Source organism: Homo sapiens, chromosome 11 (genome assembly GCF_000001405.40).
Source record: "Homo sapiens chromosome 11, GRCh38.p14 Primary Assembly".
Taxonomy (NCBI): domain Eukaryota; kingdom Metazoa; phylum Chordata; class Mammalia; order Primates; family Hominidae; genus Homo; species Homo sapiens.
This window is the reverse complement of record NC_000011.10, coordinates 61,731,195-61,747,002: the sequence shown is the minus strand read 5'-3', so window position 1 is coordinate 61,747,002 and position 15,808 is coordinate 61,731,195. Positions and strand designations below refer to the sequence as shown.

Below are 15,808 nucleotides of genomic sequence, written 5' to 3'. Positions count from 1 at the left end.
GTGCTTCTACATCCAGTTTATACACAGCTCTATACAATATACAGAAACCTTTATATACAGATATATTTATAGAATAAGCTATATTAATTTGTCTCTCCTTTTTACAGCAATATTAGTTTGGATCTTTCATACATTAAGTACAAAAAAAGTCTGGGGAGAATGGCACGTAAGAGAGTGCATGAGGGTCTGTGGGGCCCGGCTGCTCGCTACTGATTGCATATGGAGTCGCCCAGGCCCCTGGGAGGACAGGCCCGCGCACTTGTGCTGCAGGTCTGGGGATGGAGTGGGGGTCGGTCTGAGCCGAACGGGGCTGAGGGGGGTGGCTCAGACCCCCCAGTGTGGTATGGGGTGGAGGAGGGAGACGTGCAGCAGGCCCATCCTTCAAGGGCGAGGTGGGTAGGAGCCAGGTTAGGGGTGGGCTGCCCCTGGGTGCCCAGGATTGAGCCCAAGCCTGCCCCAGCCCCAAGCCTGAAACATGGTGTGGCTGCAGCCTTGGGGGTGGGGGGTCTGTCCCTGATGGCTCGTCCTGGGGTGGACGACATGCCCACATTAGAGGTCCCAGGACCCACCCTGGCAGAGGAGGAATTAAAAGGCCAGACATCAAGTCTCTCCCTGTGACTGGCCACGGTGCTTGTCAGATCTTTCATCTGAGAGTCTGTCTTGTTTTCTAAACTCTAAGAGCCACTGATTTTGTCTTGCTTCTGTGCTGGGCTGAAGCTCTGTATGCCTCAGCAGGGCCAGGGTGTCCTTGAGTCTGGTGAAGGCGGGAGTTACAGAGGATGAGGGGAGGCCCAGCTCCCTCTGTCAGGGTGGGCAGGGGCTCCCAGGACAGCCATCCAGGCCAGTCCCAGCTGTGTGGGGAGCCGGGGGCCAGAATTCAGGCCCCCAGGTACCAGTGATCATGAGAGGGAGGTCTCTTGGTCGGGGGAGCCTAGGCCACCCAGGGAGGCTGCAGGTGGAGCCAGAATGGGAGGGACCATGCCGCTGCAGAATGAAGGCACGAGCAGGCGGTCAGCCGTGCAGTCAGCGCCTCGGTACACACCAGTTTTCCAAAACGGGTCACAGCAGCAGGCGCGATGGGAACAGATGGTGCCTAAAGCTGAGCTTGTCCCTGCGACCCTGCCTCAAAGGCCCCATCATGCTCCCCTACCGTTTTCTTGGCAGGCTGGGAGGGGCAGCAGGCAGGCAGGGCAGGTAGGGTGGGCAGCCCCAGAGGCCCCTTCCTTAGGAACGGTGCACACTCATGCACATGCATACGCGCCAACACTAGCATGCACACCCTCCCACCCCGCTTCTGGGGAAACTCCGGGTCGCTATCTCCCTAACTGCTTCCCAAACCCAGCAGGGGAGGAAGCCCTATGGGGACCTCAGGCTAAACCGGGACTGCTCCCAGCCCCAGGCCCCTCCCTGGGCAGTGGACAGAGGTCTCCAGCCAAGGCCCACCATACCCCACTCTTGGCCCCACCTCCTACCAACAGGACATTGGGGGTGGGAGGGAGGAAGGCCTGCTCCCAGGAGGGTGCCCAGGCCAGCGAGGAGGGAAAGCTGAGGGGAACAGGGGTGTGTTGGTTCCAGATCCCAGGGCCCAGAGCTGCCTAGGCGTGGTGGGGGTGACACCAAGGGGTGAGGTGGGGCCCTCAGAGGAAGGGGGCTCTCAGTGCCTTCCTTCCACCCAGGGCACTGACTCTGCAGCTGGGGTGGTCACAGCAGTGCCCACCACCCTTTGGGTGGTGAGGATCCTTGGGGGTAGAAGGTAAGCCAGGAAGTAGCCAGCAGGCAGGGCAGGCCTGGGTGCCCAGGACCCATGGGCAGAGGAGGCAGCATGAGAGGCACAAGGCAGAGAAGGGGCGGCCCTGACCCCACCCTCCTCTGGCCCCTCCAGGCCCCTGGCTGCCTTGGGCCCTGCTCAGAGGACGGCTACTGAACACATGATTGGGCGGGGGGCTTGCAAGCCCAGAACACATCCTGAGCCAAGCCCAGCAGCTTCTGTAAACATGTACAGCACTGCAGGCCACCTCGGCAGGGGCACCCCAGGGGGCCGGCCAGCAGGCACCAGATCTGGGGGGTGGCCAGGACGATGCCGGCCTGGACCACAGATGAGAATACATGTGTCGGGGGGCACTGCTCTCCACCTGGCCCCTGGGAGAGCAGCCAGCAGGCAGTGATGGGAGGCAGCTTGCCCATGGCCTGTCCTGGAGCAGGGGGTGCCAGAATGCCCCCATGGAGGGCAGTCAGGCTGAGTGTGGCCCACCCAGCAGGCTGCCCAGGCTCCTCCCCACTCCACACCCTTCCCCATCTTTCCCCATCTGTGGGGCCAGATCCCAGCCACCTTGGCTCTGGGGGTCCTAAGCTGAGGTAGGGATGCGGACCCCCAGCTCAGCAGCGATGCCTGTGCCTGAGGCTAAACTGCCCCTGGGGGTCTGTCCTTAAAGCTGCCCGGCAGGGGGCAGGCACCAGGTGCCCACAGGGCCACCTGCTCCTGCCTGGGCCCGGCTGGCCACGCAACTGGGGTGCTAGCGTGCTGAGATGACCAGCTCATCTTGCTTGGCGGGGCTGGCTCCGTGGCCAGTGGGGGTAGAAGTCCGGATCTTGTCAGCCGCCAGGCATTCCTGGCTACTGAGGCCCGTGGGCGTCAGGTCCATGAGCTCACCCGAGGAGCTGAGCGGGAAGGAGGGCGAGAGTGAGATGCCCGAGGAGGGGTCGGCTGAGCCGGCAAAGAGCCGTGGGGGCTTGGGCACCAGGTTGGGCTCGAACTGGGCACGGAGCAGGATCTCTTGCTGGCTGGGGGACTTGGGGCCCTCAGCGTAGTCACTGGTGGGGCTCTCGGGCACCACCATGCAGTAGAGGTCTTGGAAGGAGCTGCTCTTGCTGTCCAGGTTGAAGAGGCTGTCGATGAACTCGGCGAATTCCAGCACCTGAGGACTGGGCGAGTCCCCCAGGCGCCCATTGTGCAGCGCCAGCTCCCCGCGGGAGGCCGGCCCGCCACCCCCACCGCCAACCTCTTCCTCCTCGTCATTGGCCGCAGCACTGGGGGGCCGCTCAGGAGTGACGCCGCCACTGCCCAGGGCCGCCTCCAGGGGCTGCGTGTCCTGTGAGTGCTTGGACAGGCTGTCGGCCGCCAGCAGCTCAGTGCGCGAGCTCAGGGATGGGTTTTCCTCGGGGATGGCAGGGTCAATGTAGAAGAGGTGGCCTTCATCACGCTCCAGCACAGCGTGGAGGCTGGGGGAGCCCCGGATGCTGCGGAAGCCTGAGGAGCGGCGCGAGTCGAAGCTGTACAGGGACTCAGTGTCCGAGAGGCTCTCCATGGTGGCCAGTGGTGCCCGCCGGGCCTGCAGCTCCGCCGCCAGCCGCTCCTGGGTAGACAGCAGCAGCAGCTCCACCGGGTCCTGGCGGGCCGCCGCCGCAACCACTGGCGACAGCAGCCGCCCCTCCGAGAAGCCCTCCAGGCTCATCTCAGACTGGGACTTGCTCCTGCAGAGGGAGAGGAGAGCAGGGGGTATAAGACTCAGAAGGGAGAGGGGACTGAACCCCAGCTCCCTGGCTAAAAGGAACTTGCAGGGAATAAAGGGTACAGTTCATTTAGCAGTTGTTGATGATGTGCAGCAGGGAATGCTTATTTTCTTTTTTTTTTTTTTTTTTTGAGACAGAGTCTCGCTCTGTCGCCCAGGCTGGAGTGCAGTGGCACGATCTTGGCTCACTGCAAGCTCCGCCCTGGGTTCACGCCATTCTCCTGCCTCAGCCTCCCGAGTAGCTGGGACTACAGGTGCCCGCCACCATGCCTGGCTAATTTTTTGTATTTTTTAGTAGAGATGGGGTTTCACCATGTTAGCCAGGATGGTCTCAATCTGCTGACCTGGTGATCCGCCTGCCTCGGCCTCCCAAAGTGCTGAGATTACAGGCGTGAGCCACCGCGCCCAGCCAGGAATGATTATTTTTTAAAAACAACTCACAAGAACCCAAGATAGAAGACAAAAGAGTTGATGCTGGGTTGAGCCGCGGGGTCCCTGAGGGGCTAAGGCCCTGCTGGCAGCACTAGGACTTCAGGAGTGCTGCTGGGGTTCTCTGCACCAGAACCCCTGTCATTGTACCAATGTGAGAATGAGGCTCTGATAGACTGGCTGCCCCAGATCACTCATGAGCCTGCCCCAGGTCACTCATGAGGCCACAGTGGAATGAGAGAGACAGAGGGAGGGAAGGAGGGAGGGAGGGAAGGAGGAAGGGAGGGAGGGAGGGAGGGACAGAGGGCAGCAGGGAGACAGGGAAGGGAGAGAGCCCTGCACATAGCTGCCCAACTGGTTCCACCCCAATCTCAGAGCCAGCAACCCTGGGTGCCACTCCCAGGGATCTCATCACTTCCTTCCTCATCCGGGTCTCCTCCTGTCTCCCATGGGCCGCAGCCCTCTGCTGGGTGGGGAGCCTAGTGCCCCTGGCTCCGCAGACCAGCCTGCAGGGAATGAGTGACAGGGCAGGGAGTGGGTGGCTTGCAGCAGTCACCGCAGCCGGAAATGGACACTGGCTTCTTCATCGGGTTGTGCAGCTGCCACAGGAAATGCACAAATGGCAGGGAGAGACGTCCAGTTGTCCCTACCAAGGGCCAGGAAGCAGCCTCTTGACCAGATCTGTGACCAAGCACACAGGGCCTGTGTGGGAAGGTCCTAGAAAGGCAGGACAATCCTCCCCTGGAAGGACTACCACTTAAGAGCCTCGCACCCCTCAAAGAGTGTGTGAATAGCAAGGGCGCTGTGGCCCCCATGTGCGTGCCCCTGTGAGCATGTGTGCACGCCTCTGTTCATGTGTATGAGTGTGTAGACCAGACGTCTGTGTATGTCAGCTGGCTTGTGTGTCTGGGTCTGTGCACAGGTGTATTCATGCATTTCCATGAGCACCTGCCTGTCCACATGTGTCCTTGTATATGTGTCTCCACCTTTGTCTTGGTGTGTGTCTTGTACATGTGCATGTCTGTAGGGGGTGACCTGTGTACTTATAACTAATAATTGTGTGCACATGTATGTGTGTAAGCTTCAATACAAATATGTAAGTAAATGGGTGTCCATCTGTTTGCGTCTAAGTGTGTAAGAGTGAATCTGTGCAGGCCGGCCATGGTGGTTCACCCCTATAATCCCAGCACTTTGGGAGGCTGAGGCGGGCAGATCACCTGAGGTCAGGAGTTCAAGACCAGCCTGGCCAACATGGTGAAATCCCATCTCTACTAAAAATACAAAAATTAGCTGGGCACGGTGGCAGGCGCCTGTAATCCCAGCTACTTGGGAGGCTGAGGCAGGATAATCGCTTGAACCTGGGAGGTGGAGGTTGCAGTGAGCCAAGGTCGCGCCATTGCACTCCGGCCTGGGGGAAAAGAGCGAGACTTCGTCTCAAAAAAAAAAAAAAAAAAAAAGAGTGAATCTGTGCTTTTGTGGCCCAGGGTTTGTGGGTCTGTGTGCCTCCCCTGGCTCATGTAGGATTCAGGGACAGCAGGCTGTGGGACAGCTGGAGCACAGCAAGAGAGCCCTAGAGCACAGAGGGTGAGTTTGACCCCTCCTGTGCACGTGTGCAGAGCTGAGCCCAGTGCATGCACAAAATGCATGTGCACACAAGTCTATGTGCTCTGAACCACACTCACCCTGGGGTGGGGCTGGGAGTGGCCAAGGCTCACCTGACGCTGCTGTTGCGGTGGTCTGCAGTCGGCAGCTCCAGGGCAAGGCCAGTGGGCATGGGCGGCCCCGTGGGGAGTGGCTGCTGCTGGAAGATGAGCTCAGGAGTCAGGTCCACCTCGGTAGGGCTCACCATGACCTTGGCTGCAGAGAGCAGAGCGGTCTTCCCCTTGTTGTAGTTCTCCAGCACCTGAGGACAGGACAGAGGAGGCTGGGGGTGGTGGAGGGACATCAGGCCCCATCGTGGGGCCGATGTGGAGCCAGGGCCCAGGCCTCTCAGGCCAAGCAAAGCCTCATGGAGTCACTTGGGTCCCACTCTCCTCCTCCTGAGGTCACCACTCCCCAAGGCCTGAGACTTGCCCATCTGGTCACGACTCGCCCCACAGCCCGGCGAGTGCTCCTGCCCTACCTGCCTTCAGCCTTTCCGCAGCCAGGGGATGGCTGTGGCTGTCGCTGCTTGCCCATTCATCTGTTAAGGGCCAGGTGGCCTTCCGGGCCTCTGAGCTGAGCCTGCCTCAGGGACAGGCCCCTGGGAGTCTCCTTATCTCCTCCCCACCATGGGGCAACGTGGTGATGTGGACAGAGCCAGGGGTGTGAGGTTGAAGTATTTGAGTGGGGCTTTCTGGCCCAGCTACCTACTTCTCTGAGCCCCAGCACCCTTGTCTGTAAAATCGGGCAGTGATCTGATGGTGCTTACGGGGTTCTGATGGGGTGACAGTGCCTTATTCCCTGGTGGTACCCTGCCGGGAGCTGCCTCACCTTGTTGAGCCCCTCCATGACCACATAGGGCAGGTGCTCATGCAGCATGGCTGGCGAGATGATCACCTCATTGAAGGCCTTGTTGTCGCCCCAGATGGCAAAGTATGTGGGCTCCTCCTGCTCACAGCAGCTGAGAGGGACATGGACAGAGGGGAGTTAAGGGTGGGGTGGTGGCCTGGCCCTCGGTGCCAGGGCCTCCTGGCTCTGTTCTCTGCCCTGCTCAGCAGAGCTGGCATGGTTTGGAGGCCCCTGGCCTGCCTGGCAGCAGGGCTCTGTTCCCTGGCCTGGCTCCTGCCCTGCCCTCAGCCTGGGAAAGGCTGACCTCGAGCCTCAGCCATGGTCCCTCCACAGCCTTCGACCTGCTTTTGGCCTGGGCCACACCTGCTCCACCTGCTGCACGGCCCAGCTCACCAGCTGTGTCAGGGGAGGAAGCCGACCCTGGAGGGAGGAGCCAGGGCCCAGCCGTCTGAAGGAGCACAGTGGGAAAGGTCTACCCACTTGCCTGCTCCTATTCTCTCTCCTGGCGCAGCCCCCACCTTGCTCACAGCTGTCTTCGAGGAATTCCCTTGGTGAAACCAAGTGACAACTGAGGTGTGAGCTGGCCAGGGCCTGAGGGGTGAGCCCTCCAGGGCACCTACTTTTAAATGGACCACCAGTGGGGAGAGCTGCCCTGGGGCACACCAGGGAAGGGCTGACACTGGAGGCAAAGCCAGACTATGGAGAGAGACGCCTGGAGTCCTGCTCAGGGCTGGCCTTTTGTTCCATTTCCAGAGCCCGATGCTGGGGAAACCCCTCCATGGAGGCCCTGGGCCATCTTCTCCCAGCCTCCACCCCCAGCCCCGAGCGGTGATTGAGCCAAGGCCGGCCCTGCTCTCCACTGCCCCTGCCCTGGCCACTACCCCCTGCAGCAGCAGACCCTGGCAGAACCTACCAGCACTGCTCTGCAGGGTGGTTGTGGACCACGTGGATGATGCGGCCGGGCGGGTAGAGTGGAGTGCTGGCTGAGAGGGCTATAGTTAGGTCGCTGGGGTGGGTCCAGAGCCGCGTGCTGGCCAGGGTGGTCACCTCTACCTCCTCAGGCAGCTCCGACTTGGGGATGCATTTGGTGGCCCCCACGATGATCCGCCACTGCGCGGGGTGGAGTGGGAGAGATGGGGACAGAGCTAAGTAGCACTGGCTGGGGGGCAGGGGCAGGGGGACCGAGAAGGGGGGCTCAGCAGGTGAGAGGTGGGCAGTAAGATGGCAAAGGGGCAGGGGAAGGGCAGTGGCCAGAGCATTAAAGGTCGGTGCCCACCTGAAGAGGCAGTGGCTGAGGTGCACGGTGGCCAGACGGCCAATAAGGTGCCAAGGACAGATGACATGGAATTGTTGAATTTCAGGGCTGGCAAGGGGCTGGAAGCCCAGCCAACCCCTCATCTAGTAGATGGGGAGACAGGCCTAGTGAGGGGAAGGGACTTATTCTGGATCACTCCACAAGTCCGAGGCCAAACACACCCTGGAGTTGAGTCCAGCTGGACCTGCCAGGCCTGGCCTGACAAAAGCCCAGGACTAATCTGGTGGGAGCAGTTCCACCTCCCCAGAACCAGGCTCCTCCAGGCAGGCAAAGTCCCACAAAGCTTTGCTGCCCTGCTCACTGCCTGGCACCTGGTACCTGGCCCAGGGCCCTGCCTGCCACAGGGTCTAGGGCACCAAAGCTGGGAACGGTCCAGACGGGGCTGAGATGGTGAATGGGCTGAGGGCTCGCCCGGGGCAGGGGGCGGGGGGCAGGGGGTGAGGAGGGGTGACCACACAGAGGACCCTCTCCTCCTGCGCTGGCCTGCCTCAGTGTGCCTGGCCACCATGTCCCCACCCCCACCTGGCCACCCCGTCTGCCAGTGTCCTCCAGAGACCTGATGCGGATTAGGAAGGGCTGACCCTCTCCTCTTGGTCACAGCAGAAAATCAGAACAAACTGTACCCAAATCCTCTCCACAGGTCATTCCCAGCCCTCCCTGAGCCTAGGGAATCTCAGAGGCTTCGGCAGAGGCCTTTCCTCACCGCTCAAAGCCTCCAGATCGCTTTCTCCTGACTGTGGGCAGCTCCCAGCTCTGTGTGATGGGAGCCTCTCGGTTCCTGTCCTGATTCTGTTCTAACTTTTTATGTGAGCAAATGCAAGTCCCTCCCACTCTGGGTCTCAGTTTCCCCATCTGCACAATGACAGGGGATGGATGGGTTGAGCTTGGGGATGCTGAGGGTCTGACTTCCTGAAGTTCCCACAACACCAGCCACACCCTGCCCTGGCCTTCCATGGCAGGGCCTCTTGTGCTTTGTCCCAAGAAACCGGTGGGGGTCAAGGGCAGGGACAGATGAGGCTGCACAGAGGCAGGGTGCCCAGGTGGGGGCTCACTTTGGGCTTGGTGCTTCGCTGCAGGACATCCAGGAGCTGTCTGCGGAAGCCTTCCAGCTGAGAGAGGCCAATCCTGGGGAGGGAACGAGACAGGGCCGTCAGCCAGGCCTGGTCAGCGGCTATGAGAGGTATGGGGCCAGGGGCGGAGGGGCAGGCACACGCCTAGCCCCTGGAACAAGAAGACACGTCAGCCAGGGTCACGGGGTGGAGAGGTGTCCACAGAGCAGCTCCCCAGAGCAGAGCTGAGGAGTGAGAGGACAGGCAGGGCGGGCGCCAGCACGTGCGTTCACCTGGGCTTCTCACCACTGGGCAACTAAGGGTGGGGAGGGGCGTGGGGTCCCTTGAGAGACAGGAATCGGACTGAGAGAGATGCGGGGGCTGGGGGTGGGGAGAGGCCTGGAGGAGGGAGGAACAGCCTGGCAAGGGACCATGGAGCGGGGCCAAGGACTCACCTGGGGACGAGGTCTTTGCCCAGAACCACAGCAGTCACGAACTCCTTGGAATACTCCATCGCATCCTCACTGCAAGGGAAGCCGAAGCAGAAGCTAAGGCCAAGGGGGCGGGGTGGTGGTGTTCCGGAATCGGGGGGCCCAGCCACAAGCAAGCCCTGCTCCTGCACTCCTGGGATGGCTCCCGGGGAGCTGGCTGGTGGCAGGCTGGGTTGCCTGCTCCCTGCTCTGTCTTTCCCACTGGTAAGGCTTTGCTAGGTAGATCCTGGGGGGCGCATGGCATTTCAGAGCCCCCACCCTCCACCCTCCAGGCCACTCCCAGACCTCCATGTGACCAGAAGTCAGACTCCCAGTCCAGCCCCTAGCACCAGCCAACCCTCAGCCTCCACTGGTCCCAACTGCCCCAGCCAACTCTGAAGCCCCAGATGGCTCACCTCAGCAGGCCCCCTGGCGGGGAGTAGGCAAAGCACTTGAGGGTCGGATACTGTGGGCGCAGAAGGAAGGAGAGGATGGCAGCAGTGCCCGCGCCCAGGGAGTGGCCCACCACAATCAGGCCGTAGTGTTTGGTTCCGCGGCCCTGGAGACCGAGAGAAGCCTGAGAGCCCTGCCCCAATGCCCGCCAAGCGACTGTCTTAGCCAACCCAAGGGAGGCAGAGGGTCTTCCCATCTTCCCAGAGTCCTGGGATCTTGTCTGTGCTGTGTGAATGCTAGGGCACAGAGAACCAAGATAGGGCCCCACAGAGCGACTGCTTAGGCAGACTGTTCTAATAAACTCTTATTTACGCTTCCAAACCTTGCTCAGAGGTTATGTCCTTGGGGAAGCCCTTCTGATTTTCCAGGAGTGGCTCACTCCCTCTAGTCATTGCATCTGTACCTGGGATGGAGCTTTTTATCACTATAAACATGTGGTTACCTGACCCCATCTCTCTACCCTCACTACTAGACTGAAGTCTCCTGAGGCCAGAGCCTGCTTTGCTTTGGAAAGGGCAGCTGGTGGCACCTCAGGAGCTACCTGCACAGACCGTGGCCAGTGGGCAGGACTCAGTTCCCCCCTAGGTAGAGCAGCACCCCTTCTCTCTGCTCTGTATTTTGAGCCTCTCCATGTTTCCTTCTGACAAACGGTTCTGCAGCTATGAGGCTTAAAAGCCGTCTGCCCTGAATCATCTTTGTGCCTCTAGTGTCTGGCATGAATCAGGTGCCCAATGACTGTAGGTGGGGCGGAGCAGGATGCCCACAGGACCTGGCACAAAAGAGGAGGGGTTGGGAGCCAGGCTGGAAGGGATTGCAGGAGCCTGGCTTGTGTGGGAGTTGTGAGGCTCCATCACCCATCCATCCTCTCCTCTCTGTGCTGCGTTGGAGGAGGGGGACCCAGGTGTGAAAAGGCTTGGTGCCATGGAAAATTCCTCACCAGGTCTCGCCCAAAGGCCTGGGACAGGACCATCTCCTGCTCCAGTTTCTTCTTGATGTACTCAGCTGAGAGGACCATACCCTGGGTGGGCAGGAACAGAAGCAGGTGTTGGTGGGAGGCCTCCCAGTGACCAGCAAACCCACAGTGACCTGCAGCTCAGGAACCCTGCCCCATCCATTTTTCCCTTTGGGCCTCGTGACAACCCAGCTGTGGGGGCTGGCAGACACGCTGATCCTGTCACTTCCATTTCACAGGTGGGAACTGAGGCTCAGAGGGGCAGTGTGGCTAATGAAGCTGGTATGATCTCTCCGCAGCTGCCTCTCAGGTTCTTCCATGGTCAGGCTCTGGGCTGTGCAGGGCAGTGGGGTCGCAGCAGTGGGCCGCAACGGGCCTTCCAGACTAATTCATGCCTCTCTGACCAATCTCTTCCAGTGAGCCCAGCGAGCAGGGAGGAACCCCCAACCATACACGCCTCTGCACACTGGCAGGGCAGGAAAGAAGCCCAGGGGCCCTGGGGTCCATGACGTGGGTTACCTTGTGGCCCAGCCAGGTGCCGTGGTGCCCCTCCACGGGGAGGCGCTCAGCATCACCCGTCAGGTCAGTCAGGGCATCCTTGGGGAGAGAGGAGACAGGTGAGGGGGCGGCTAAAGAGGACAGGAAGAGGGAGGCAGGCACCCCCGGGGGCTGGGAGCCATGGGCAGCGTACCTTGGGGGACAGGGTCCCCCGGATACTGATCACCACTTTCTTCTTGTCATGGTCCACCGCCACGTAGAAGGGCGTTTCATAGACCTAGGAGGCGGGCAGCTCGTGAGCCTGAGCGGCCCTGGTGGGGCCACACTCAGGGAAAGTGACCTAGGCAGGTCTCCTTCCTGGCCAGGAACTCTGGCTCCACCAGCCACGGAGCCTCTGCCGCCAGAAAGGCTGACGGGCTCCCAGGGTCACTGGGGATCTCCTCCCGATCCCAGCCACAGGCCTGCCCTGCCCTCCCCGCTCCTTGCTGGCTCTGGCAGCCCTGAGTGCCACCACTTGCCCCTGAGTCCAGGTGATGGCTGCCCCTCCCTGCTTCTGCCCTCAATTCCTTTCCCTAAAGGGCTAGGGCTCGGCAACCCAAACACTGGGTGTGGGGTTGATGTCTGCTTTCCCAGCCCCAGAGGTGGTACAGGCAAGCCAGGGTCTGGGGAAGAGAAGGGGGCCACCTCTGGTCTGCCCAGCTAGGGATGCCTGGAAGCTGCAGCCAGCCAGCACCAGCCAAGCAAGGGCTCCTGCCGGCCTGGAAGGATAGCCTCAGCACCCTAGGCCCTCAGCTGCCTGCTCCTGACACCAGGCCCCAGCCCTGCCCGGCCTCACCGCATCATGGCAGGAGGTATAGACGATGTCCACCGCAGTCATGTTCTCGTCCAGGAAGTGGCGCCGGATGGCAATGGCATTACAGCCACAGCAGTTGTCTTCCTCGATGGTGACTCCAGGGGCGAACCGCGGCCTCGCAGGACACAGGCAACACCTAGGGTGGGGTGACAAGAGAGTTCAGGGCCAGGGAGTCCCCGAGGGAACAAATGTCTCCTGCCACTGTCCCTGGAACCAGTTCCAGTTGGGCATTCAGCCCCACTGCCTCTACCAAATTGCCCTTGCTAAGTCCTAGTGACCCCCACGTCACCAAATCCACTGGCCACTCTTAGCCTTCCTCTTAACTGAGCTCTTGGCGGCACCTGACCCTGTGGGCCCTTCCCTCTCCCCACCTGGCTGGGGCCCCCTCCTCTCTGGGATCTCCCCTCCGGGCAGGGCCTACTCAGCGATGCACCCAACACTGAAGCCCTGGGGTCCCTCTGGGGGCACTGGCTCCTCCATGCACTCATGCAGTCTTGTGTTTTAGACACCATCTGCATGCTCAGGAATCCACCCCAGGCCTGCCCCAACACCCAGATGCTTCCATCCAATGGCCTAGCCAGCACCTCTCTCGGACACCTGACACCCTGCCAGCTCTCAAACCCCTTCCCTGCTTGTGTACCCCAACCCTCCTGAGGTCTTCCCAAGGCCCCTCGGTGGCTTGGCCTCTGGCTTGCAACTGTCTGTGGCTCCTCAGCCCTCACCCCCACGGCCATGCCACTCGGTCAGTACACGTACTCGGCTTCCCTTCAGACTCAGAGCTGGACTCCAGGCACTCCCTCACCTCCCCTACCCCTGCCCTGGCAGCTCTGCCTGGGACTGTCATGGTGGCCTCGACTGGCCTCCTTGCACTTGCCCCTACGCTCTCAGCTCAGCAACAGAGTGGCCCTTTTAAGATAAGTTGAGCCACATCATTTTCTTTTTAAGACCCTACAGCAACGCCCTGTCTACCCCACCTGGCTCTGGTCTCTCTGACCTGCTGCCAGCGTGTTCAGCAGCACCTGAGACAGCGTGGCCTGGCCCTTGCTCCTCTGGGCCTCTGTTCAAACGTCCTGTCACAGTGAGGTCTCTCTTGCCACCTCATCTAACAGCCAGGGCTCCCCAGGCCCCCAGCACTCCCCATCCCAGGCACCTGGCTTTATGTGGGTCCAAAGTGCCCATCCGCTCCACCATGTGCCCTATTTGCCTTGTCTATGCGCTGTCCGCCTCCTCGCTGGGCAGTGAGCACCACAGAGAGGTCCACAGCTGTATCCCCAGCACCCAAACAGGGCCAGGTACACAGTAGCCTCCCCACAGAAATGAATGAGGCAGCCTGGGAGCTGGGCACCCAGCTAGGTGCAGCGGCACCTCAGGCCACCAGAGGGAGCCAGCATCCAACTGCTAAGGCACCAGACGCTGGAGCCCACGTGACTGGGCCTGCCAGCTGTCACGGGATGACAGCTGAGATTTTATTAAGAAGCTTGGATTCTGGTGATGCTAGGAGGTTTGTCTTCACTCAGAGCATCACCTGAGTGACTATTACACACTTTCCAATGGGGAGAGACTTTGCTGAGAAAGCCACAGTGCTTGCTGGGGGGACAAAGCCGATGTACAATGGGAGAGCATGGTCCCCCACACTGCAGGTCAAGTGGTGATGGGCCAGGGTCTAGGGGCTGAGCTCCTGTGCTCGGCAGCTGTTCCCTCTCCAACCTCAGCTGAGCATGAGGCTGTAACAGTGTGGCCTTTGGAGACTGGAGGCTTGAGTTTGAACCCTTGCTGTATCACTTCCTGACCGCAAGGGCCTGGAGGTCACTCAGCCATTCTAAGCCTCAGTTTCCTCTTCTGTAAGAGCAGGTGGTGACAGCTACTTCACAAGGCTGGTGTGAGATCAAGGGTCCAAGATGCAGAAATGGTCTGGCCTATAATAGGTTCTTAATAACGAGTGGCTCCTCGCTTCTCCGGTGACAGGGCTGCCTCTGAGTCAGTGATGTGTGGGCCAGGAGGACCAGTCAGGGGAGCAGGGCCAGCACCCCGGATGGGAGGGCCCTGGGGCTCATCCAGGGCAGGGCTAGGGCCAAGCCAGAAGCAGGCCTGGCTCGCTGTGCTCTGCATGGGCTGAGAACTGCTGCCAGGGGAGAGGCCTGGGCCCGAGGCAGATGGGCAGCCCTTCTCCCTCTGGCCAGGCTGTTATGGACAGGCTGGGGCACTGGACTCTGGCCTCCTCCCAACACCCTGGGCTGCAGGCCTGCCTCTCTCTGCCCCACAGGCACCTGGTTCTTCCAGGCAGGGGCCTGGCTGGGCCCTCATGAGGTCTAGGGACTCTGCTCTCTCTGCAACACTAAGGCACCTAATACAAATGCCAGCACCCCTCCTGTCTGCAGAGCACCAGAGAGCCCTGCCTGCCAGTGATACCCTGGGTTCTGAAACACCCTATGGGCAGGCAGGACAGATACCACCTGTTACAGTTTAGGAAACAAAGGCTCTAAGAGCTGTCCCCACACCACCAGTGAGTAATGGAGCCTGGTGCTCATTTTGAAGAGTTCTCTGCCACAGCTGGGACTCCCAGGGATGCAGGCAAGAATGCCAGGCACATGCAGCTGACAAAGATGGGAAGGGGGCATGAGGTGCTCTAGTCCTCTCTGATCAGTCGCTGGAGGGATGGTGAGAATAAGGCCCCGAGAGCCACCCAGCTTTCTGAGGACAGGGAGGGCGCTGCAGAGTGGGTGTGGCTGCTGTGGGTCCCAAGGGCAGGGGTGTCAAGGAAAGAAGCTGCTGCCCAGCATGCCAGCCTTTCCAGAACGGGAGCCCAGGGAACTGTCCTCCTTCTGCCTGGCATGAGCTGAGGGCGGAGACACCCAGGACAGGGAGGGGTTCCTCCTGGAGCAGGCGCCCTTCTCTGGCCCACTTAGGAATGCAGAGTCCACCCAGCCCCCAAGCGGTGGGCTGAGCGCAGAGCTAGGCTGCAGGCCAGGTCTGGGGCTAAGGCCTTTCCTAGATCCTATGAAGAAGGTTGGAGCCTTAACTAACAGGCCTTCTTGGTGCCTTTTCAAAGACCTCTATGGATTGGGCCTCTCTACTAGGAAAGTCCTTTCTTCTAGAAAGGCAGAGCACATGAGGGGAGCCGAGAGAAGGGAAGATGTGGGCAGAAGGGAATGGCTGAGGGGGCAGAGAGAGAACGCCAGAAGGGGAGGGGAGGCAGCAGTGTGGGTGTTATGCAATATCTCATCTAGCCCTCTCCAAAAAATTCCACGAGGTATGTATCAACATCTCCACTTCGCAGATAAAGAAACTGAGGCTCAGAGAGGTGGACCCACTTGCCCCAGGCTGCAAGTGACAACATCTGGATTCGAACCCATAACTGTGTGACTCCGAAGCCTACAACTTCACTGCTCAGGGATAACACAGAACTAGAAAGGTTGAGGCCCAGAGAAGGTGTAGAAAAGAAGCCATTCAGGGCAAAGCAGTAGGCGCAGCCCGGTAGCCCTTCCTCACACACCACCCGGGAGGAGAGGTGCAATCGCTGGGGGATGGGACAGGGGTACTCACGAGCAGGACCGAGCCAGTTGGCAGAGGCCGCAGGCGGGCTTCCGCATCAGGTACATGGGCCACCCGTAGGCAGCCAGGGCAAAGAGCATGTAGTAGCAGACCTCTTTGTAGCGGAGCATCTCTTGCTAGAAGAGAGGAGGCAGAGGGCGGTCACCTCCTGCCCTTCCTGCCTACAGCCTCAGGGCCCAGCAGTTCCCCAGGGTGGGAGCCTGCGGACCCAACCCCTGGCAGGGAGGGGTTGCTGGTC

General features: G+C 60.6%; 1 protein-coding gene across 7 annotated transcripts in view, besides 1 other annotated feature; it reads right to left on the bottom strand.

Annotated features, from left to right (window-relative positions):
* Position 1: 1 nt before the first annotated feature.
* The window catches only part of DAGLA (diacylglycerol lipase alpha), a 66,611-nt gene continuing 50,804 nt past the window's right edge, over positions 2-15,808 (bottom strand). For 6 of the 7 annotated variants that reach the window (NM_006133.3, XM_047427544.1, XM_047427543.1 and 3 more), the window contains 12 exons: positions 15,562-15,686; positions 12,001-12,154; positions 11,359-11,442; positions 11,187-11,264; positions 10,653-10,733; positions 9,679-9,821; positions 9,248-9,316; positions 8,796-8,868; positions 7,342-7,538; positions 6,411-6,540; positions 5,654-5,841; positions 2-3,471 (listed from right to left, as the gene is read on the bottom strand). In NM_006133.3, coding sequence (NP_006124.1) covers positions 2,514-3,471; positions 5,654-5,841; positions 6,411-6,540; positions 7,342-7,538; positions 8,796-8,868; positions 9,248-9,316; positions 9,679-9,821; positions 10,653-10,733; positions 11,187-11,264; positions 11,359-11,442; positions 12,001-12,154; positions 15,562-15,686 — 2,280 coding nt within the window. In that variant the 3' untranslated portion in view covers positions 2-2,513. Of the gene's footprint in view, positions 3,472-5,653; positions 5,842-6,410; positions 6,541-7,341; positions 7,539-7,704; positions 7,827-8,795; positions 8,869-9,247; positions 9,317-9,678; positions 9,822-10,652; positions 10,734-11,186; positions 11,265-11,358; positions 11,443-12,000; positions 12,155-15,561; positions 15,687-15,808 lie in introns of those variants that run through there. The other variant, XM_047427545.1, reaches the window with a different exon arrangement.
* Positions 5,995-6,568: an enhancer, noted in NCBI's record as "H3K4me1 hESC enhancer chr11:61507907-61508480 (GRCh37/hg19 assembly coordinates)". NCBI's record gives its function as "activates a minimal SCP1, AML or CMV promoter by ChIP-STARR-seq in primed H9 embryonic stem cells {active_cell/tissue: H9 hESC(primed)}" and the evidence as "EXISTENCE:reporter gene assay evidence [ECO:0000049][PMID:30033119]".